General features: G+C 44.1%; 3 protein-coding genes across 5 annotated transcripts in view, besides 10 other annotated features; 2 read left to right on the top strand and 1 right to left on the bottom strand.

The window, feature by feature from the left end:
• The window catches only part of RDH10 (retinol dehydrogenase 10), a 30,680-nt gene extending 24,121 nt beyond the window's left edge, over positions 1-6,559 (bottom strand). Inside the window, exons 1-2 of the mRNA NM_172037.5 lie at positions 5,583-6,559; positions 3,732-3,967 (exon numbers count right to left, since the gene is read on the bottom strand). Coding sequence (NP_742034.1) covers positions 3,732-3,967; positions 5,583-5,871 — 525 coding nt within the window. The 5' untranslated portion in view covers positions 5,872-6,559. The remainder of the gene's footprint in view (positions 1-3,731; positions 3,968-5,582) is intronic.
• Positions 1,865-2,365: an enhancer, noted in NCBI's record as "H3K4me1 hESC enhancer chr8:74211031-74211531 (GRCh37/hg19 assembly coordinates)". NCBI's record gives its function as "activates a minimal SCP1, AML or CMV promoter by ChIP-STARR-seq in primed H9 embryonic stem cells {active_cell/tissue: H9 hESC(primed)}" and the evidence as "EXISTENCE:reporter gene assay evidence [ECO:0000049][PMID:30033119]".
• Positions 5,867-6,826: a silencer, noted in NCBI's record as "silent region_19287". NCBI's record gives its function as "represses an Ori minimal core promoter by ATAC-STARR-seq in GM12878 lymphoblastoid cells {active_cell/tissue: GM12878}" and the evidence as "EXISTENCE:reporter gene assay evidence [ECO:0000049][PMID:35858748]".
• On the top strand, positions 6,695-10,919 carry RPL7 (ribosomal protein L7). 2 transcript variants are annotated; one of them, NM_001363737.2, is made up of 7 exons: positions 6,695-7,295; positions 8,364-8,472; positions 8,756-8,922; positions 9,251-9,388; positions 9,500-9,609; positions 9,909-10,118; positions 10,456-10,919. In NM_001363737.2, exons 2-6 carry the CDS (start codon positions 8,470-8,472, stop codon positions 10,115-10,117), a joined length of 627 nt encoding a protein of 208 aa, NP_001350666.1. In that variant the 5' UTR covers positions 6,695-7,295; positions 8,364-8,469; the 3' UTR covers position 10,118; positions 10,456-10,919. The 2 variants fall into 2 exon arrangements, with proteins under 2 accessions (NP_001350666.1, NP_000962.2); NM_000971.4 differs by lacking the exon at positions 6,695-7,295 and adding an exon at positions 7,528-7,562.
• Positions 6,860-7,567: an enhancer, noted in NCBI's record as "NANOG-H3K27ac-H3K4me1 hESC enhancer chr8:74205829-74206536 (GRCh37/hg19 assembly coordinates)". NCBI's record gives its function as "activates a minimal SCP1, AML or CMV promoter by ChIP-STARR-seq in primed H9 embryonic stem cells {active_cell/tissue: H9 hESC(primed)}" and the evidence as "EXISTENCE:reporter gene assay evidence [ECO:0000049][PMID:30033119]".
• Positions 6,917-7,406: an enhancer, noted in NCBI's record as "active region_27531". NCBI's record gives its function as "activates an Ori minimal core promoter by ATAC-STARR-seq in GM12878 lymphoblastoid cells {active_cell/tissue: GM12878}" and the evidence as "EXISTENCE:reporter gene assay evidence [ECO:0000049][PMID:35858748]".
• Positions 7,527-7,886: an enhancer, noted in NCBI's record as "active region_27530". NCBI's record gives its function as "activates an Ori minimal core promoter by ATAC-STARR-seq in GM12878 lymphoblastoid cells {active_cell/tissue: GM12878}" and the evidence as "EXISTENCE:reporter gene assay evidence [ECO:0000049][PMID:35858748]".
• Positions 7,527-8,276: a biological region, named in NCBI's record as "NANOG-H3K27ac-H3K4me1 hESC enhancer GRCh37_chr8:74205120-74205828".
• Positions 7,568-8,276: an enhancer, noted in NCBI's record as "NANOG-H3K27ac-H3K4me1 hESC enhancer chr8:74205120-74205828 (GRCh37/hg19 assembly coordinates)". NCBI's record gives its function as "activates a minimal SCP1, AML or CMV promoter by ChIP-STARR-seq in naive H9 embryonic stem cells {active_cell/tissue: H9 hESC(naive)}" and the evidence as "EXISTENCE:reporter gene assay evidence [ECO:0000049][PMID:30033119]".
• Positions 7,897-7,946: an enhancer, noted in NCBI's record as "active region_27529". NCBI's record gives its function as "activates an Ori minimal core promoter by ATAC-STARR-seq in GM12878 lymphoblastoid cells {active_cell/tissue: GM12878}" and the evidence as "EXISTENCE:reporter gene assay evidence [ECO:0000049][PMID:35858748]".
• Positions 14,704-15,203: an enhancer, noted in NCBI's record as "H3K4me1 hESC enhancer chr8:74198193-74198692 (GRCh37/hg19 assembly coordinates)". NCBI's record gives its function as "activates a minimal SCP1, AML or CMV promoter by ChIP-STARR-seq in naive H9 embryonic stem cells {active_cell/tissue: H9 hESC(naive)}" and the evidence as "EXISTENCE:reporter gene assay evidence [ECO:0000049][PMID:30033119]".
• Positions 15,204-15,705: an enhancer, noted in NCBI's record as "H3K4me1 hESC enhancer chr8:74197691-74198192 (GRCh37/hg19 assembly coordinates)". NCBI's record gives its function as "activates a minimal SCP1, AML or CMV promoter by ChIP-STARR-seq in naive H9 embryonic stem cells {active_cell/tissue: H9 hESC(naive)}" and the evidence as "EXISTENCE:reporter gene assay evidence [ECO:0000049][PMID:30033119]".
• Positions 15,229-21,610, top strand: part of C8orf89 (chromosome 8 open reading frame 89) — a 44,602-nt gene continuing 38,220 nt past the window's right edge. For both annotated transcript variants that reach the window (XM_047421206.1, NM_001391993.1), the window contains exon 1: positions 15,229-15,548. The gene's annotated coding sequence lies outside the window, so the exon portion shown is untranslated. The remainder of the gene's footprint in view (positions 15,549-21,610) is intronic.

Raw genomic sequence — 21,610 nt, 5'->3', positions numbered from 1 at the left:
GAGAATGGCGTGAACCTGGGAGGCGGAGCTTGCAGTGAGCCGAGATCGCGCCACTGCACTCCAGCCTGGGCGACAGAGCGAGACTCCGTCTCAAAAAAAAAAAAAAAAAAAAAAAAAAGAATAGAGTTTTGTTCCAGGCAAAGGAAAATGAAAGATGTATATAATAAACTGCCTTCAGACAGCTTGCCATCTACTTTGGGAGAATGATAACAAATGCTGTGAGAGATTAATGGAAAGAAAAGAAAAACCTTAGATGAGTCATTTAACCCCAACTTCACTGGAAAACAAAGGGTTGAACAAGAAGGTCTCTGGATTCTTGCAACTCTAATATCCAAAAATGCCAGAAGTGCTGCAGTGGGAAGGAAAGGTTATATTGAAACTTGAGCTACACCTTAAAAGACACGTGGAATGGAGGAAGAGGGTGTTTCAGGTAGAGGGAATAGCATGTGGACTGGTTTGGGAGTGCCCACAGCTTTTCAGTGGAAGTCCACATGGTTTTCTATTTCACTCACTTTTGCTCTGAGTCAGGATCAACATACTACTTGTTGAAATACAGGTATTAACTGCTGAAAACAGATATTAACGGTTACTTAAATGTCTGGTTCAGGATGATCTGTTCAAATGACTGAACAGTTCTTTGCTCAGCTGATGGACTTTTAAAAATGTATGGGGTAACTTCTTTTCCATACCCAGATACAGTAAAAAGACACACTCATTATTTTTTCTAGAAGGAAAACAGCACATGCCAACGTCAACACATCTTTGAAAAGTTGCCACCAACGCTTCGCATAAGAGGACTACTGGAAGGGAAGCTGAATTCAGGTGGCTCTTGTGACACTCCTTAACCCCTGTTAAAAAATTCACTGTAAAATCTATACTGAATTTTCCTTTAAATTTTGGTTGCTGAATCAAAACTTCTCAAAAGATTTGTAAATTTCAGCAAGAAGTCAGAAATTCCAACTCTAAAATGAATTTTCTGACTCAATATTGAAAATAAATTCTTAAGTTTAGATGCTTAGGGGAAAAACAGCTGGAGAATTCAGGAGCCTCCCATATTTTAATACAAAGTGACGTCATTACCATCAAGGCTTCCAAGAACTCCTTAAATTGTGTGGTTAAGCAACATCTCAAAGCACAGTGATGACTCTAGGAAGGTGCTATGCTCCTCCCTGGTATACAGATTCAGGTCCAGAATAATTTTTCTATTTAGAGATTTGATTTGACTTCCTCCTTATGTTAAAAAGTAGCCTAATATTAGAAAGACGGTATATCAATTTATGTGCATTTTCAAAGCTAAGGCTATGAATTTTCTGTGCTTTACACACACTAAATTAGCATTCATTTTATCAGATGTCTTCCTGGAGCTGGTTTCTTGTTTTAAGTATTTAACTGCAGATTGTATGGGGTTTCTTAAAAACCTGATTACACTTAAAATTTTACAATTAAGCAAAATAATCATGCAGACAAAGTAGGCAAGATGGCTAAACTTTAGAATACCTGGTGTAGGTAAAAGTTTAGTTATGTAGTCTTGCATCATCTTAGTCAAAGGTTACGGGAGAAAACAATCCCAGTCAGTATCTGCGGTTCATAATGAACCTACTGATAGTGCTGTAACTGTTTAGGGCTGACTTAAATCAACTGCAGTTTTTACGGCAGCTTCATCTTTACCATTCTTCAAATATGAAAATGACACTTCGCCTCCCACTTATGTATGTCTTTTATTTCAAATGGTAGTTGTTTTACTCAGGATTAGTCATAAACACACAAGATTCTTGATAAATTCTATGTCAAGTTTATTTGGTTGGACTGCCTTTTATTCATCTAACCACCCCTTTGACACCTGCTGCCTGTTCCTGGGGACCCAGCCACAGCAAGGACTTTAATTCAGTTCCCCACCCCCACTGAACACAACACACACCTACAGGCAAGCTGAAGTTGCCCAAACTGTATTTGGTGATTTCCTTACTTGTTTAAAACATATATAAGCTCAGGTCATTTATATATTCATTTCTAGAGGTTTGTAAATGAATTAAATAAAGTTCATGTTGGCCGGGTGCAGTGGTTTACACCTGTAACCCTAGCACTTTGGGACACTGAGGCGGGCGGATCACCTGAGGTCAGGAGTTCGAGACCAGCCTGATCAACATGGTGCAACCCCGCCTCTACTAAAAATACAAAATTAGCCGGGCGTGGTGGTGCATGCCTGCAATCCCAGCTACTTGGGAGACTGAGACAGGAGAATTGCTTGAACCTGGGAGGTGGAGGTTGCAGTGAGCTGAGATCACGCCATTGTACTCCAGCCTGGGCAACAAGACCAAAATTCCATCTCAAAATAAATAAACAGGCCAGGTGCGGTGGCTCACGCCAGCACTTTGGGGGCTGAGGTGGGTGGACTGCCTGAGCTCAGGAGTTCGCAACCAGCCTGGGCAACACCATGAAACCCCATCTCTACTAAAATACAAAAAATTAGCCAGGTGTGGCAGCATGTGCCTGTAGTCCCAGCTACTCAAGAGGCTGAGGCAGGAAAATTGCTTGAACTTGGGAGGCAGAGGTTGCAGTGAGCCAAGATCGCGCCACTGCATTCAGCCTGGGTGACAGAGTGAGACTCCATCTCGAAAAATAAATAAATAAATAAATAAATAAAGTTCATATTTAAAAATAAAACATTAAAATAAGCTTCCTCCAAGAGCAGAGAAAAGGTTTGATGCTTGAGGTGCAACATTTGAATAAGTACTTTTAATGCCAGATTAAGTTTTTAAGCAGTTGCTAAAAAATTAATGAGGTTTAATGTGACCTATTTAGGAGAAACAGTTCTTTGTTGTGTTCTATTAGAAGGCTAATCCGCCTATGGAAAAAAAAAGTAGAATCCTATTTCTTTACTCCTTCTTTATTGAATCGTATCTGTCTACAAAAGGAAAGGGAAAATACTGTGAGGAAAAAGAGCATAAAGTGGGTCAGCAGTGTGCAGTTATAGGGGACAGAGTCACACCTACCTTTACTGAAGACAACTTGAGATGAAAAACTGGGGTTACTTTTGCCCCTAGAGCAGCAGAAGGCCCTGCTCCCCTCCGTAGATCATGACATTGTTTAATGGTTAGAAGCGGACATTGTTTAAATCCCCAGCTTACCAGGTTTCACCACCTCGCCTCCCTCTCTAGGGTCCTATTAGGGTGATATTTGCGAGGCACTGTCTAACCCGAGAGAGTCCCGAAGCGTCCTGCAACAGGAAGATGCCCTGGACCCAATGGATGGTCAGGAGATGCGAAGTAACTGCCAGGGTGGCCTGGGCACTCCCAACAGACCACAAATGTTGATTTCAGAATCTTTGGCACTTTCCAAAATGTGGCTGAGCAGTAATTTGGAAGCCTAAATCCTGACTTTAGAAATTCATAAGAACAACCAATGTTTTATAAACTCAACAGAAAGTAAAATAAACAAACCCAGGGTTTTACGCTCCTTCGTGTTATTTTTATGGCAATCTTTCAAACTAGTTCAAAATGTTCAATCCTCTGCCCTCTCAAAAATACTGAGTTAGGGGTGGCGGGGGGGTGGGCGGGGACAAAACGACTAACAGTAACCAGCATACACTGCAGTTTACCATAGGGAAGAGCTAAGGAGACCTTGTGGCGAAAGAGTACAGGTTGCTTTCAGGCTGGCACTGAAGTCTCTCCCCTTCCCAACCTTCTCATTAAGGAGGGCCCAGCAAAGAAAACAAGGATGTTTATATTTACCCAGAAGTGTGCATGGCAATTGACCATCATGGTTCTCTCAATGAGCTCATCAGGACATTCCAGAAGGTGATGCCCAGAGACCACACCAGCATTATTGACCAGGACTGAGACTTCGCCAACCTCCTTGCGGACTCTTTCAGCCGTCAGGTAGACGTTCTCCCTCTTCCCCACGTCACAGGTGTAGGTAAAAACCTGCAAGTTACAGTGGGGCAGAATTTCTTCCTCACCATTCCCAGCTGTCCTCAGAAGTCCAGATGAGGAGAAAACATGCAAAAGAGAAGGAAGTGCAGAAAGTGAGTCACATGGCGATCAGTAGGACAAAGATCACACAAAACAAAAATACTACAGTGAGCTTCAAATTTCTAACGCTGCAAGGCTTGCCAACGACTGAGCTTTACAGCTGCCTTCCTCCCATGAAGTCTTTGGGAATTACAGCAATTTACTGGATAACTTTGCTTAGGGGAAAGTCATGTAATTGTGACAAGCCCAATACAAGTAGACCACATGGGATCAGCTTGCTGGAGCTAAAGACACCTGCAAAGAACTGATCTCAGCCCAGAGCTCAGAGAACAACACACACACACTACACACTCCTCTTTTTTTGGGGAAACAGTGGCCCAAGAGAAACAGCTCTTAGTCTTTAGTATGAGAACCCTCAAAATGGAAACTCACTTCAAGGCTCACAAATCAAAACTGCAATTAATAATCTGAACTCATCCAAAGCCAAGAAATGAATCCACAATTTTTAATGAAGAAATAGGGATCACTGGCTTGTTCTAACTGGGCTGACTCCTCTAAGAAGTACTCTCACAAATCAAGTTACAGGTAAATATGCAATTTTACCGCATAAGAACTTGACAATTTAAAAACCAAAATCGGTATCCTGGAAAATGAATACCCTTATCTTTTAGGTTTCGGCAGGGAGCACAAAAATCTGTATTTGCTACACCTCCATACCACCAATGAAAATGGTACATTTTCACCCTTAAATTAAAAACGCAGGTATCAATAAGTTTGATGATAAATTATCAATACAGGGGAGAAGTGCCCAAGTCAATTTTCTCCGTACAGGTAAATGTTTTCCCTAAAAATGAAAAATTTTGTTAAAAACCAACAGCCATTATCAAATTTCCTGAACCAATATTTATGGTTGGTTATGGACTTTGCTTTGGCTTAAAAAAAAAAACAACTCAGATTCAGGTTAGTTAATAAGTATTCAGAAATGCAGATTTTCTGGGGTGACCAAAAACATGGAAGAAATTTACAACGAAGCCTAAATCCTCCAAGAGCTTTCTCTTAGGAAGCAAGGCGTCTTTCAATCACGCTCAGGGAATGTAACTAAAGCACTTATCGCTGGCGAAACAATGTAATTATGTTCCTCAGGCTAAACTTATAATGAAACCGTCAATACTGCCCTCGTCTAAGGGGTTCAGACCACAGTAAGACAGACACTTCTTCAGTCTAGTCAGAACAACTTCCCAAAGACGCTTCAGTTTCCCATCGCGCCGCTTGTAAGTCGGAGCAAGACATTTCTTTGGGATCCAAACCTGTGGTAACAAGTTCCCTCCGCCTTCCCTACCCCGGAGGGCTTAGGAAACCCGCCCCCTCCCCCCGCCGTGGTCCCCAGAGACCGAACCTCCGCGAGGACAGGGCACCTTCTCCCTGGTAATACAGAAGTGATCGCGTTCCTTTATCAGGAAGCGAATTCCACTCGTCTCCCAAAAGACCGGTGGGGTGTTCCTTTCCTCCACAGCGGGGCTGACCAGGCAGCGGGGTTTGGGGCCTGCCGTGGTAGGGCGCGGGGTGGAAAGAGGCTTGACCCAACAATGCTCCCGCGCGGGTCCAGGTTACCTTGCAGCGCAGCGGCGTCGGCCGCCTCCAGGTCGCGGTAGATGTGGCGCACCATGCCAGCCGTCTCCTCGTTGCTTTGCGTGTTGATGTCCCACAGCACCAGCAGCGCCCGACGCCGGGCGAACTCCAGCGCGAAGAGGCGGCCCAGGCCGCTGCCGGCGCCGGTGATGAGGCACACCTGGCCCGCCACGCTCTTCTCCTTGGGCCGCACCAGCCAGCGCGCCGCGGCCAGCACGAACGCCCAGAGCACTTTGAAAGTGACCACGAAGAACTCCACCACGATGTTCATCGCGACGCCCGGGGCCCCGCACGAGCCCAGTGCCTGCGTCCGCGCCCACCCCGAGCCCGGCAATCGGGCTCCCGGCTCCGGGGCGCTTGTCACAGAGGCCGGGACGAGAAGGCTGCGCCCCGCGCCCGCCCCCGAGGTGCCCGCCGGGTTGGAGTGCGCGGCGCCGCTCCCTGCCTGCGCGGGGCCACTCCCGCCCGGGCTCGGCGCTGTGGCCCCGGACTGTGCCCGCCGCGGCAGTCACCCGGCTCGGCGCCTCCTGCCGGCAGCCGCCCGCCCGTCCCGCAGCGCCCGGCCGGCCGGCTCCGCTGCAGTGGCGGTGACAGCCGCGAGTTAGACTACTCGAACTGCCCTCATGGCCAAGCTGCTGCCGCCCGAGCGTCCCCGGAACCGGCGCGCCGGCTCCCTCTCACCCCGGGGGAGGGGTGCGCAGCGGAGGCGGCACGGGCCAGCGGGCTGCCGCGGGAGTTGTCAACTCGACCCAAGTTGCGAGAGGGTGGGAGAGTGGGGTGCGGGGCGGCGGAGCGCCGGGAAGGGGAGACTCGCTCGGCGCAGGCAAGCGCTGCCCAACGCCTTGCAGCTGCCCCCGAGGGCTCGCGTTCCCCGGCCCTGCACTCTCCGCGGGTGTCACTCGGGCACTGGGCTCCGCAGCGCAGCCCGCTTGCAAGTCAGAGCGCTCCGGGCCGGCTCTGAGCGGGCTCCACGCTCCGCGCTATATAACCCCGCGACCGGGAAGAGCCCGCGCCAGCCTCGGCATCGGCCCTCCCTCCGCCCGGCCTCCCCGCCCCCGGGCGCACCCCGCCCCCGGCCCAGCCCCCAGCCCGCCAGCCGTCCGCGGAGCCGAGCCGGGTAGCCCCTCTCACACGGCCGTGGCCGCAACCTCAGCCCTCCTCGCACCTCCCTTCGCAGCTCACGCCCCCTCCCGTGGGGTGTCCTGGCCTCCGCCTGCCGAGCTCGGCAGTCAGCAGAGCCCCGGCCATCCTCCTCCGGCCGTCCGGTCCCCACTGGTCCCTGGCTAGCCACTTTTCGTAAGCTAGAGCACTCCAGACCGCCCCGCCTGCGATCAGGCGCTGCGGAAGACAGCCCTGTGGGCTGGAGCGACGACAAGGACCTCGCGGAGCGGCGAAAGGGGTGTAGTCTGCGACTACCGCGGCAGGGAGCCGGGAGGGCGGCCAAAAGTGACTTCGAATTGCAGCTAGCCGTTTGGAACGTGGCCCAAGAGGCTCTCATTTTCCTGGCTGGAACCGTCGCCGCGGTGCTTGCCTGCGGTCCTGGTCAGCCGTTGCCCTCCCGCCGGGCGGGCGAAGACTGGTGCATGCTGGGATTTGTAGTTCGTCCCCATGAGGCTCGTCCTGGGAACATTATGGGGAGGAACGGAGCCTAATCCTGTCAGCGCAGCCTGGGGATTAGGACCCGGAGTTGCCAAGGTGTCAGCACTCTTTGCTCTTGAATTGATTAAAAAGTCTAATCAAATGCATATATTTTCTTCAAACAAGTTTTACCCGAAAGTTTGTTGAAAGAGGCTAAATCAGGGAGTTCTTTGCGTCTGCAAGGCGGCTTTTTAGTTCTGGATTCTTTTCCGGCTTATTCTAAGACACCTATGAGTCGTGGGGCTTCTCTCGCGAAGTCTTTAAGTGGACAGTACGCATGCGCCAACTTCCTCTTTTTCCGGCTGGAACCATGGAGGGTGTAGAGTGAGTTGCTTCTGGTCCTCTTGAGAATCCTTCTCCATCTCCAGAGCCAGATACTTTTTGTGTCACTTTTTCTCTCTCTGGCCGTAGCTTGCACCTTTGCCCACCTCCCTGCTTGATTGTGAACGCTGTGTGACACCAGTGGGGACCTGAGGCTAGGGTTGGGATGCGGGCGGTCTTAGGACGGAGGTTTTGGAGATCCCGGGAACGAGATGTCGGGTTGGAATGTGTGTGGAACCCGTCGGTTGGCTGACGGCCCAGTCCTCGGTAGAGGGTCTTTCGGGGGAGGCGCAGAACCTCTGAATTGTGTTCGTCCTTGGCTGGTGCTTGGTACAGGCCTCCCTGCCGCCAGGCCTTTGCTTTCAACATGTGGATCCTGATTGAACCAGAGTGGTGGTGGCTTGTTTTTTTTTTATTTTTATTTTTTAATTTTTGCGCTTAAAGTCTCGGGGTCAGTGCCTTGCAGTAGTCTTTCAGCTAGTACATTTTGTTATTCGGGTGTTGGTGTGTTTTTTTTGTTTTTTTTTTTAATTAGTCGTCGGAGGCCGGGCCTCTTGGTTGAAATAGGGAAAAACGTATTGCTATTGTCATATTTGTGATTGCGTTTTAGGCAACATGGTGTTAAAGGTTATTGACATGGAGCTAAAATATGCATCGTACACTGTAGCATGCCAGAGCAAGTAAAGTTACTAGTGACTAAAGTCAGTGACAGCATTTCTGGTAAACAACACTGCTCAGTACGGGAGTAATACAGCGCTGTGAGCTTTTTGAGCTATTGATAACATTTTTGTTTATTAACGTTAGAGAGAAGAAGAAGGAGGTTCCTGCTGTGCCAGAAACCCTTAAGAAAAAGCGAAGGAATTTCGCAGAGCTGAAGATCAAGCGCCTGAGAAAGAAGTTTGCCCAAAAGATGGTAAGTAAACTTTTTGAGGCACTAGCACATAAGGAGGCGCCTTATTGGGATTGAGGATGAGGTGAATGTTCTTGGCAAGATTTACTTCCTAACTGTACTGAGTAATTGCTTAGCTACCTAATGTTACAATCTGAAGGTAGTGGGGTTTTTTGGTGGGGGATGTAATTGCATACTGTGGCAAGAAAAGATTTAAAGGAAACATGTTGTAGTTTTCTTTTTAATGATTGGCATTGCTAATTGTGATTGAGCTAAAAATTATGAATAACTGATTATTGGTTTTCAGCTTCGAAAGGCAAGGAGGAAGCTTATCTATGAAAAAGCAAAGCACTATCACAAGGAATATAGGCAGATGTACAGAACTGAAATTCGAATGGCGAGGATGGCAAGAAAAGCTGGCAACTTCTATGTACCTGCAGAACCCAAATTGGCGTTTGTCATCAGAATCAGAGGGTAAGTTCAGTTTTACTGCATTCGGGTTTGAATGGGAAAAAAAAAAAAAACCTTCACATTACTTCTGGGAGCCCTGATTCTGAAACACCGGAGTAACAATATTTTAGGGGAAGCTAGAACAAGGAGGGTGCTGATCACTAATGGTTTAGTTGCAAGCCATGTTCCCCAAGCTCCTATCCCTTCTCTTAATAGAATACAGAAATTCAGTGTGTAACATGAGAGGATTCCTATCTGTTTAGGTAGGATTCGATATTCAAAACTATAATGGTTAGTATTAATAAAAATTTCGATGAAAGGCAAATGCATTTCTGGTCCGTTTTCACCACAGTATCAATGGAGTGAGCCCAAAGGTTCGAAAGGTGTTGCAGCTTCTTCGCCTTCGTCAAATCTTCAATGGAACCTTTGTGAAGCTCAACAAGGCTTCGATTAACATGCTGAGGATTGTAGAGCCATATATTGCATGGGGGTAAGTCTCTTTTCTCCTTTGATTTCTATTTGATAAATTGGTTATGTAGCAACATGAATTTTAGATGTTTTAACAGTGGTCACCTTATTTATGTTTGCTTTTTCACTTCAGGTACCCCAATCTGAAGTCAGTAAATGAACTAATCTACAAGCGTGGTTATGGCAAAATCAATAAGAAGCGAATTGCTTTGACAGATAACGCTTTGATTGCTCGATCTCTTGGTAGGTTCTATTTGGGGGAAAATTTGGTATTAGACCATGCGATAATTTCTTACCCTCTTGTGGCCGTACATTTCTCACTATTGTGAATCTTCATGTGTTCCCTATGATTCTTGATTTAGCTTAAAAGAAAACGTAAGACATGGTTTCATTAGCTTGAACCTTATCTTTGTAAAGCCATGCATTTACCTTGTTTATTCCTGGTTATGTTTTCATCTCACAGCCTATTCAAAAAGATTTTGAATAATTATTTCAAAACTTTTTGCAACTTTAATAATCTTAAATAACCTTAAAATATTTAGGTAAATACGGCATCATCTGCATGGAGGATTTGATTCATGAGATCTATACTGTTGGAAAACGCTTCAAAGAGGCAAATAACTTCCTGTGGCCCTTCAAATTGTCTTCTCCACGAGGTGGAATGAAGAAAAAGACCACCCATTTTGTAGAAGGTGGAGATGCTGGCAACAGGGAGGACCAGATCAACAGGCTTATTAGAAGAATGAACTAAGGTGAGAGACCTCATCCTGAGAAAGGTTGAGTTAATGTTAGAGTATAAGTGGTGGTAATCTTGAATACTTTTCCCATTAAATATTGATGGGGGTTTGAATTTTAATCAGTGCTTTTGTGGGGAGTGGGGGTCAACTATCTTAATGATTACAGTTGGTTTGTTTACTGCTTTTGAGGACCTTTCTGGAGGAAAGGAAAAGCCTGTTTTGGGGAGTCTTTAAAGATGGAAATTGGGTGGTCTTAAAAATGTAAACTCAATCATTACTTTATAACTGCCTAGTTTATGTTAATTGTTAGCTGCCTAAAGTGTTTTCTAATGGTTTTCTTTTTTCCTTTCAGGTGTCTACCATGATTATTTTTCTAAGCTGGTTGGTTAATAAACAGTACCTGCTCTCAAATTGAAATATATTGTTGTATTTGTGATTTGTTGTTGTTGTTGTTAGCCTGCCTCTGTCTTCCCTTAACTACTGTGGCAAGTGTGGTGTGTGATAAAATTAAGCCAAATCAACAGCCCATTTCGTGCAAAATCAGGGTCGAGTCTGTGTGAAAGACATCTCTTGGGTTTTTAAAAGGCTTTTCTATACAAAAGATTTTAATTTTTTGTTTTTTAACTGTGCTGAGTGATTCGAAATGGGTTTATTCTAAGAAAGCCTGTTTCACAAGCATTTGTACATGATTTGTCGGTAAGGTAATCCAACTTTGGTTTATGGAAAAAATTGAATTTAGTTGCTAAAATTTATTTCTCGGGCCTTCGCTTGTTTATAAACTGCCATGTAAATGTGTTGTTTTCCTTTTGCATTCCATTTTTGTGTTCTTGTTTTGCATCTTTTGCCATACTTACGTGAGTTACTAATAATTGTTACATACTGTGGGTATTATGAAGGAAGGCATGAAATTTGTGCCCAGGGATGCAAATTATTTCAGAGCATCTGATGAAATTAATGGGCAAAAACTTCAAAGGTTTTTTTGTAAATAACATTCCTTTATACTTCATGTATTGTTTCACCTAGACTAGTGAACAATGTAGAGTGTAACATGAAGTACATAGAATGAGAGTAAAAATGTTTGTGGTCCTCATTTAGTTGTCAAAGTTCTGACACACTGAAACAGCTCCCTTAGTAATTATTTTGGTACTACTGCTCCACAGTCATTTATTGCTTTTTAATATTCGAAAGTTGCTAGACAAATAGAATTTCTTTGAGTTCTTTGTTCCTGGTTTTGGGACCTATTTCTCTGGCTTAGTAAGTTTGTTTAGGGTCAGTGAATTTTGGAGAGAAATCAAGATGATCGTTTATAAAAATCATTTTACATATTTATGATTGTATCAGTGTTTTGCTAGATGTTTTTTGTCTTAGCAGTTGGGTCAATATTTTGAAATAGTACATGGATATCTAGGTAGAGCCAAAGAGTTTATTTTTTAATTTTCCTTTGTAGAGATGAGATCCACACCAGCCTGTATTCCCCAGCATGTTACTGAACTCCTGGCCTCAAGCAATCCTACTGCCTCAGTCCCCTGAATAGTTGGGATTACAGGCATGACCCACTGCCTCCAGAGGGTTTTTAAGTTATAAATTCAGTTTTGTCTTACTGCTTTGGTAGATAGAGAGTACAGTTCCCAGTGTTAGCACATCCAGTGTCATGAAGGGTAGTTGTGCCTCAGAAGATGTCAGAGCCTGTTTGGCTTCCAGGTTTTAGAGGAATAGTGAGGGCCATCAGTGGCCTCTGCAGGGTCAGAATTAAGACTAATTATGGAATGAAGTTGTACAGATGGTGTATTGCTTGCTTAATCTAGGTGCAGGTGGGTGGGTGCATGAAATGTGGGAAGTCTTCATTGGGATAGGAATAAGCACTTTATATACAGAGAGATACTTAGCAAAGCTTTTTTTAAAAAAAAATATATAAATATATAGCCCATGCAGACACATATTGTAAGTGTGGCCTGGGGCCAGGGAGGATGGGGAAATGTGGGAGGGGTTGCAGAGAACCAGGATTCCCATAGAGAACAGAGTAAAGTGGGATAACCAATCTGGTTTTATAAGAGGATTGTGAGGAACAATAATAGGTACGAAAATGTTTGTGAGCTGGTGGAACCTATTCAAATGCAGATTAACACCTGATTAGGAAACTCACTTCTTATAAATGTCATTGCTTTCAAGGGATCCTCCTCTGGAAGGCCTAACCAACCTTAGGGGTCTGGGCACCCAGTAGGTTCTCCTACAAGATTACACCTCATATATGTTTATTTCCTGTTCATCCTTCTAAGGTCCGGCTTTCTCTAGTGGATGGTCCCTTAGCTATCTCAGTTTTTATAAAGTTGTCTTGGACTCACTGGCCTTTAACCAGTGTTAACCTAGTTAGTAACTTCTTTGAAGGTTCATTTGTGGTTCGCTGGATTAGGAGTGTTGGCTTCGGAGCCAGAGTGCTTGGGTTCATATCTAGTCTCCACTTATTTGTTAGCGTGGGCCAATAAATAATCTCTGTCTCGGTTTCCATGTCAGCAAAATGGAGATAATTTTGCCTAATTTCATAGGATTTTAATGAAGATTAAATGTTAACAGGTCCTGTAAAATGCTTAGAGCAGCGCCTAGCTCGAAAGTGCTCAATGCTGCTGTGCAGTATAGCTTCAGCACTTAATGTGGGCACACAACAGTGAATTACGGAAAATAGCCTCTGCTTTCAGGTATCAGTCTGATGGGAAGACAGGCAACAGATACAGTGAAATGAGTGCCCTGGGGATGTATAGGATGTGATAGAGCTTCTTAGGGGTGTCTGGTGTCTTTGTGGGCCCACCTCCATGGGAAGATTGACAGCTTTCTGCTCCCAGTGGTTTTCCTTAGAAATGTGGTGTCAAAGAGCCAAAACATTCCTCTCATGTGCCTCCCTTCTGTTAGGTAGTAAACTTTAAGGCCAGGCCTTTTAATTTCTGCCCATTTGCTGACATGTAGGCACTCAGTGTTAAGTGAATGTATTAGTTTTCTTTTGCTGCTGTAACAAATGACCATAAACTTAAGTGAATTTATTGTTTTAACTTTTCTGGAGGTCAGAAATCTAAAATAGGTTTCACAGCCAAATCAAGGGGTCAGCAGGCCTGTGTTACTTCTGAAGACTCCTTTTCTTTGCCTTTTCCAGTTCTGGGAGCCCCTTGCTTTTCTTGGTTCGTGGCATCTCTGCTTCCATCGTCTTTGATCTTCCTCCTGCCTCCCTCTTAATATAAAAACTTCTGTGATTACATTGGGCTACTTGAATAATTGAGGATAATCTCCCCATCTCAAAATCCTTAATTCAAGCACACATCTACAAAGTCCCTTTTGTTGCTATATAAGGTAACAAATTTACAGGTCCCTGTAATTAGGGCATGGAAATTGGGAGGCCCATTATTTGATATTTTATTTCTGGCTCCCCAGCTATATTCTTTGTTCCTCAAAAGTGTCTTCAGCCTCCAGGTCTGGGTACTTGGCTTTTCATTCTGGAAAAAGGTCTTTTCTGACACACGTCTTCATATATCACCTTTTTTCATAGCATTAATTACTATCTGAAACTGCTGACTTGCTTTTCCCAGCCATTCTCCAATGTAAGGTTTGAGTCTTAGCTTTCTCTATTCTGGCACTTAGAACAATGCCTGGTGCATTGTAGGCACTTCACTTTTTTAAGGGAATCTAACCTCATCAGGAAAATAGATATTTAAAATCTTGAGACTTCAATTACTGGCATATTGTAGTCCTTGAGTATTTGGTGATGGGGGATGGCGACAGGAGGAATGGGGTAGAGTGTGGATTTATGGATATATATTTCTGTATATATAGTTTACTTTGGAGGACTCAGAAATTGCATTTTGTAGGAATAATGATTTGTAATAGTAGAAAACCATGTTAGGAGAGAGTACAGGAGATGCTTCATGCTGTGAAGATTTGGCAAGTTTCACAGAAGAGGTAGAATTTGGTCACCTGATGATAGGAACAGTTTGAGAAATGGCATGGAGTTTGGGAAGTGTCAGGTAGGGGTGTGATAGCAGAACTAAACAGGAGACCATTTAATAAACATTTGATCACTTGCTGAGTGCCAGTGTATCACTTGATCCACATAATCCTAGGTTAGTGTTTCTCCACTTTGATTGCAACCCCAGAACTAAATTCTTAATTGGTTTTGGGATGAGCCCTAGACTTTTTTCTAATTAAGTACTCCACATGATTTTTAATATGCAGCCTAGTCCTCTTGTTAGGTGGGTTAACTTTCCCTCACCCAGGATCACATAACTAAGTAGTGGGGCCAGTGTTACGATTCCAGGCCTAATTTGAGTGTTAAAAAAAATAACCAAATGACCTAGGAGAGGTTTGTGTAGAGCTTAATAAGAATGGAGAAAAGTGTGTTGAGAGCAGTTTCAGGAGTTTTTGTGGGCTCTGAAACCTTGTTACCAGGGATAAGCTTGCAGCTCTAGTGGGGAGTCAAGTCATGAAGGCAGAGGCTTTATATGATAACTTAATCTGGCAAGAGTACAGATGCTAAGATCCCACTGTGCAAGACAGGGTGCTAGGTGTCCAAGCCAGAGGGGGCACACACACCTAACCTTTTATAAAGGAACCAAAACAAAGGAGTCAGAACATGGAATTTGGGTGGACTCGTGAGGGAACTCGTCATTGTTGTCATTTACCTAAAATTGGGCTAGTCAGGTATTAAGTGGCTAATATTTGAAAGGTACAGCTCATCAGTACTCTGGAAAGCCTGGTTATTTTGAACCTGAAAAATAAGTCTTTGATACAAGCTGATGTGCAAACAACCCAGAAAATTGAATTACACCAAGCTTGCCCAACTGCCCTGTCTTTGCCCTATATGTGCTTCCTGGTGCTGTTTGCCATTGGGCCCCTCACCTTGTGTCACCACTGACCAGTGTTCACCCAGTTTTGATTCAGCTCACTCCCCCACATTACCCCCATACTCGGCAGCAGTGACCTGAAGGCAGAGGCACTAGTGCTGGTCGAGGAGTCCCGGTGGCCTCCGCTGCCCAAGCTGTCCAAGCACCCGTCATGGCCCTGAACCCTAACACTGGGCCCCTTGCCCTATGGAACTGAGGCGCGAGGCCCCGGGCGCCTAGCAACTGGTGTGCGTACGGCAGGCAGCGCTGCAGCCTCGGGAGACGCCGGCCGGGCCGGGCCCAGCGTCGCAGGGCTGCTGGCTGCGGGGCATGCTCACCCCAGGAGTGGTGAATGTGGGAGCTCGCGGCCACCTGCATCACCTGTCCCGCCCCGACGCCGTGGCCAGCCCTGCGACAAGGCTGGACTGGGCGGGGGGCTGAGGTGGGCACCGGGCTGCCGCTGGCTCCCACACTGCCCGCTGTGCCCGCTGCCCCAGCCACCCCTGCTGCCGGAGCCTCCTACCTGGGCCGCAACGGCCAGGATCGCAAAGAAATCCCTCCCCTCGGTGCAGCTGCGGGCACAGTGAGTGCTGGTGGCTGGCCCGTCTCAGGACGAGCCCTGGCCAAGGAGCGGGAGGCTCAGGGGACTTGCCAGGTCAGGGCTGGATGGGAGGTCGGGTCCAGAGGTCATCTAGTCCCACTCCCTCCCACGAAGGGGACACTAAGGCTCAGAGAGGCACGTGGGTCACTCCGAGGATGCTCTAGATGCACTTTATGATGGGAGCTGGCAGAAACATCTGAGCATGGGGACCTGAGGAAGGCTACTAGGTGGGGTCGGGGGATGAGATTGAGGGAAGCGGGTCCGCCTGCCGGATCTGTATATTCTTTCTGCACCCCTTACTTCTGGTAAGTAAGTACTTACATCTATCCGTTAAGTGGACACACCCTTACAGATTGACCCTCCCAGGCTTAAACTGGAGTGGGGGGAACGTGTTTACTTTCCTTCCCTTGCCTACCCCTGTGTCTTCCCTTCTCCCACACTTGCACCCAGCCATGCAGTGGGACATGGAAGACCAACCCAGTTAGACTGTTAAAACCCTCTTTCTGTTGCCAATTTTACTTTGAACCATTTCTGATTTACCTATAATTTGTGTGTGTGTTACTTTTCTCACCAGGAGTTAAACATTCTAGAAATTATTTGTGTAACATAGGTAGTCTTTTCTACTGTACTGGTCATTTTCCCATACAACCTTTTTGGGTTCATAGACATCATAAAAACTGGAGTCTCCAGACAAATGCAAACAATTTTGTGAGCACTTTTAGGGTATTATAATCCCTAAAGCACAAGAATTCTTGCTCCTCTTTATTGACTTGTTATGTACATTGTTAACAAGTTAAAATCTCTTGTTACAATGGTATTTCTTCAGAAATACTCTGACATTTCCTTTTTTAAGTTCTTCCTTACATTTTTCAAATTACATTATAATGTATAAGTACTTATTGAAACAGTACGGAAGTATATGGAGTTAGAAAGGAGAGGTCTATGCCTTTCTTTACTTTTTAATCCTTGTTAGAATTCATTTGGTGTTCATTCTTCCTTCTTTTTTCCTTTGTTTTTTGGTCATAATGGAATCATACCATGAATTATTTTGAGAAATGTCTTTTTTCACTTATGATGGAGCGGGCCAGGCATGGTGGCACACGCCTGTAATCCCAGCACTTTGAGAGGCCGAGGCGGGCAGATCACAAGGTCAGGAGTTTTGAGACCAGCCTGACCAACATGGTGAAACCCCGTCTCCACTAAAAATACAAAAATTAACTGGGCATGGTGGCGCGTGCCTGTAGTCCCAGCTACTCAGGAGGCTGAGGCAGGAGAATTGCTTGAAACCGGGAGGCGGAGGTTGCAGTGAGCCAAGATGGTGCCACTGCACACCAGCCTGAGTGACAGAGTGAGACTCCATCACCAAAAAAAAAAAAAAAAAAAAAAAAGATGGAGAATACCATTCATATCAGTTTACTTAGGTCTGCACTGAGTATTTCATAGTACAGATGTATCAGTTTATGTGACCATTCCTCATTGAGATTGGTTTCAATTTTTCCCTGTTACAAACAATGCAACAATAGGCATTCTTTTTTTTTTCTTTTTTTTTTTTAAGACAGAGTTTCGTTCTTGTTGCCCAGGCTGGAGTGCCATGGCGCGGTCCTGGCTTACTGCAACCTCCGCCTCCAGGTTCAAGCAGTTCTCCTGCCTCAGCCTCCCAAGTAGCTGGGATTACAGGTGTGTGCCACCATGCTCGAGTAATTTTTTTTGTATTTTTAATAGAGATGGGGTTTCACCATGTTGGCCAGGGTGGTCTTGAACTCCTGATGTCAGGTGATGTGCCTGCCTTGGGCTCCCAAACTGCTGGGATTACAGGTATGAGCCACCATGCCCAGCCACAATAGACATTCTTACACATGGGAACAGTTCTACAGAATAAATTCCTTGAAGCAGAAGTGCTAAGTCAGATGTAGGCACATTAAAAAATTTTGATAGAATCTTGCCTTTAAGAATCTTGAATGATTTATCTTTTTGTCAACAGACTGTATTGAGCAAAATCTGTATTTATTATTCTTTAAAAGAAGAGAATAGCTTCCACTTAGTGTTTATAACATGTCAGGTACTGTGCTGAACACTTCACATGCATTTTAAAATTTAATCCTCACCTTATGAGAGTCAGAGGCAGAATTATTTTCTTCATGACCCTGTGGTTCTGTAGCTCTTGAGGGGCACATTTAAGATTAGAATCCAAGTTCATTTTGCTTCAGTTCCTGGGTTCTTTGCAGGGTCTGAATCCCTGCTCAGTCATTGACTGGAATCTGTGTTTCATTGGGTGACTTAAGGATTAAATTGGATTGTGTATTTGCTGTTACAGTAATGTTATTAATAATTCCCTTCTCCAGTAACTTGCACAATTGGACATGGTCCAATGCTTCCTATGATGCTGGTTCCCCTGAACTGTCTGCCTCTCCATTCCTTCTCTGCCTTTTCTTCTTCCTGCCTTGCATATATTTTAAGGAAATCTCTGGCTTTTCTTCTTTCTCTCAAATCTCCTTTGCCAACTTTATTACAGTCTCTGGCCTTATTTCTCACGTGTAAGTAGATAACTCTTAACATTTTCATCTTCAAACCTGTGTACCTCAATTCATACTGCATAGATCCAGATTATATATCTCCATTGGATATCCTGTACTCACTTTTTTCTAAAACAGAACTCCTTGTTGCCCTCCACCTCCAGACTAGCATGTCCTCTTTGAATTTAATTCATGGTTCCATAATTCTCAGTCACCTCAATTCCCAGCCTCATTCAGCTTTGACTCCTTTTTCTCTGCTGAATCTCCCAAATTAAATAATCAATCTTGCATTCTCACTGTGACCACTCTAAATACTCTGGACTATTATGATTGCCTTGTAATTTCTCTTTTGGGCTCCAGTCTCTGCCATATTAATTTTTCTAAAGCATAGCTGTGAATAGAAACCATACCTCTGTTCAGAATATATACCATATGTCTGTTCTGTGGTTCCACATTACTCAAGAAAATATAGACCACTTTGTCCAGCATTCAGATTTGTCTGTAATCTCATCCAATTTATCATTTCATTATTTCTCACACTGCCTTTATCTGAACCCCTCCCTCCAGGCAATCCAGAGTACTTACATTACATTCTCTGTGACATCTTTCCCATCTATATCTTTTCCTGGAATGCCTCTACCTACATTTCTGCCGTCTAAATCTTATTTAAATGCCATTTTCTAATTTCTTTAAAGTCTTTTTTGAATCTCCCCCGAAAGTAATATCTCCCTCCTTTTAACTCTTCTACTACTTTATATATCTCCTAAGGATTTAATTTATACACACCGCTTTGTATTATAGTTGTATAAGTGGCTACTGTTTTTTCTTCTGGACTGGAAATTCTGTGCAGGCAGAATCTCTCTTTAGTTATTTTTGTGTGTTTTTTGTGCACGTGACACATTTATGTGTATATCGTACATGCTTAATGAATATATTTAAGTGAGTTACTACATTATTTGAGAATAAAAAGTCACATGTATTAGCCTATTGCTAGCTGTAGTGACAAACAGATCCCAACATTTTCTTGATTTAACATAGAAAAGTTATTTCTTGCTCACATAACAATTTCAAGGTAGGCGTCCCTGGTCAGCAAACGGCTTGCTTTCACTTGGTAGAAGGACCCAGACTCTGCCATTCGTCAGCACTTCACTCTTGTCTAAATCCAGTCAGCAGAAAGGCAAGGAGAAACTATGGAGAAAGCATACTTGCTTAGCTTCTTAGAAGCTTCTTGCAGTGTTACACATTACATTGGCTCACATTCCAGTCACAGGGAGGCAGCCACTTCCTAGAACAAACGCTATTCTCTGGAGGAGGAGCCAGGATTTTAGTGGACAAACAACCTTCTCTCCCACAGTTGATTTCTACTTGTGAAAACCTTTGGGACTTAGCTTGAACATCACTTGCTCAAAAAGCAAAAACAAACAAATAAACAAACAAACAAACAAAGAAAACCTTCCTACTTCTCCAGTCTGGTTAAGGTCAGCAAAAGTTCTGTTGTGCCATAGAATTTGAACGTAGCTTTATCGTAATGAACTAATTACTCCTCCCCACTACCTCCCATAGACCATGTGCTTTATCTTTAATCATTGTTGTATTACAACTACTAGCACAATGCATGACATGAATAAATAAATATCTTTCTCAATGAATCTATAACTCATCTTTCTTTATGTTCACTTGGTAATTATTTTGGTTCAAACAACCCTAAAATTAAAGATTATTTTGCCACCTGCTGTTTGACATTTGAGTTATTTTCATTCTCTTTTCTATTATAAGAAATACAGGAATTGATATTCATGTATCAATGATTATTTCTTTTTCTTTTTGTGGAGACAGGGTCTCATTATGTTGCCTAGGCTGGTCTCAAACTCCTGGGCTCAAGAGATCCTTCTGTCTCTGCCTTCTAAAATGCTAGGATGACAGGTGTGAGCCACCACACCTGGCCAGTGATTATTTCTTTAGGATAAATTCCCAGAAGTAGAATTGCTGGGTCAAAAATATATACAATTATAAGGACATGTATATTACTAGATTATTCGCTGGAAATATTACACCAATATATACTCCCACTGAAACCTTATTCCTTGCACTCCATCTTACTCTATTAATAGTAAAGAAAAAAATCCCTGCCATTTTGATTGGCGAAAGTAGCTCATTATATTATCTGCCTTTTATTTGAGTACTAGAGAGAATGAATTTTTTATTGACTGTATTTTCTCTGCAACAAGTTACCTGGTCTTTAATAAATGCACTCTCAGGATTATTTTTCTTTTCTTTTTTGATTTTAATATATACATATATGTATATATGTATGTATGTATGTATATGTGTGTGTGTGTATATATATATGTGTATATATATGTGTATATATATATGTATATGTATGTGTATATATAAAATAAATTACTGGCCAGGAGTGGTGGCACATGCCTGTAACCCCAGAACTTTAGGAGGACGAGGTGGGTGGATTACCTGAGGTCAGGAGTTCAAGACCAGCCTGGCCAACATGGTGAAACCCCTTCTCAACTAAAAATGCAAAAAAATTTAGCTGGGCCTGGGGCCATGTGCCTGTAATCCCAGCTACTCAGGAGGCTGAGGCAGGACAACTGCTTGAACCTGGGAGGTGGAGGTTGCAGTGAGCTGAGATCGTGCCACTGCACTCCAGCCTGGGCAACAGAGTGAGACTCCGTTTAAAAATAAATAAATAAATTATTCAGTTCTTTATGTCATTATTTAAAAAGCTATTCTGGGAACTTCTGGGCAATGTGGCAGACTGAGCTGGCATGGAAGGGTCCCCATTTTGCTTCAATATATTTCAAATGCTGAGTAAAAGATAATTTATGGAAATGTGGCTAAGCTAGGAACAAAGAAAAGGAAATCCCCAGGTGCCTGAAATGAAGGAATGTTCACAGAGAAAGCCACCGTTGAGCCATCTGCTGAAAGCTGGGAGTCACAAAGAAGTACTGTTCAGTTACTATGGCTTCATAACAAATTTCTCCAAAACTTAGTGGTATGAAACAACCATTTATTGTGCTCATGGATTCTGTGGGTCAGGAATTCGGACAGTGCACAGCAGAGACAGCTTGGCTCTGCTTCAGGATGTCTGGAGCCTCAGCTGGAAGATTTGAAGGCTCAGGACGGGAATCTCCTGAAGGTTTATTCACTCACATGTCTGGTGGTTGATGCTGGCTCTTGACTGAGACCTTAGCTGTAGATGTCAGCTGTAATCTTTGTATGTGGCCTCTCCATGTCACCTGGCTTCCTCACAAAATGGTGGCTGGATTTCAAAGGTGAGTGTCCTGAGAGCCAAGTGGAAGTCATATCACTTTTATGACCTAGCTTTGGAAATCACATAGTGTGGTTTCTACTGTTTTTTTGTTTGGCTGAGGAAGTTGGTTTCAGGGAAAGAAACATCTCACCTCTTGATGGAGGAGAGGAGGAACATCACAGTGAAGGAAGAGCATGTGGGACTGCATATGCATTAGTACACCTATCTTTGAAAAATAAAATCTACCACAAGAACCCTTTGAC

This window comes from Homo sapiens, chromosome 8 (assembly GCF_000001405.40).
Source record: "Homo sapiens chromosome 8, GRCh38.p14 Primary Assembly".
NCBI lineage: Eukaryota > Metazoa > Chordata > Mammalia > Primates > Hominidae > Homo > Homo sapiens.
Note: the sequence above shows the minus strand (reverse complement) of the source record. Positions and strands in the feature narration are given on the sequence as shown.

Coding starts and splice junctions, on each gene's coding strand:
- RPL7 (NM_000971.4), top strand. Junction 8,923..9,250: donor TTTGTCATCAGAATCAGAGG/GTAAGTTCAGTT, acceptor TTTTCACCACAG/TATCAATGGAGTGAGCCCAA. Junction 9,610..9,908: donor TTTGATTGCTCGATCTCTTG/GTAGGTTCTATT, acceptor TAAAATATTTAG/GTAAATACGGCATCATCTGC.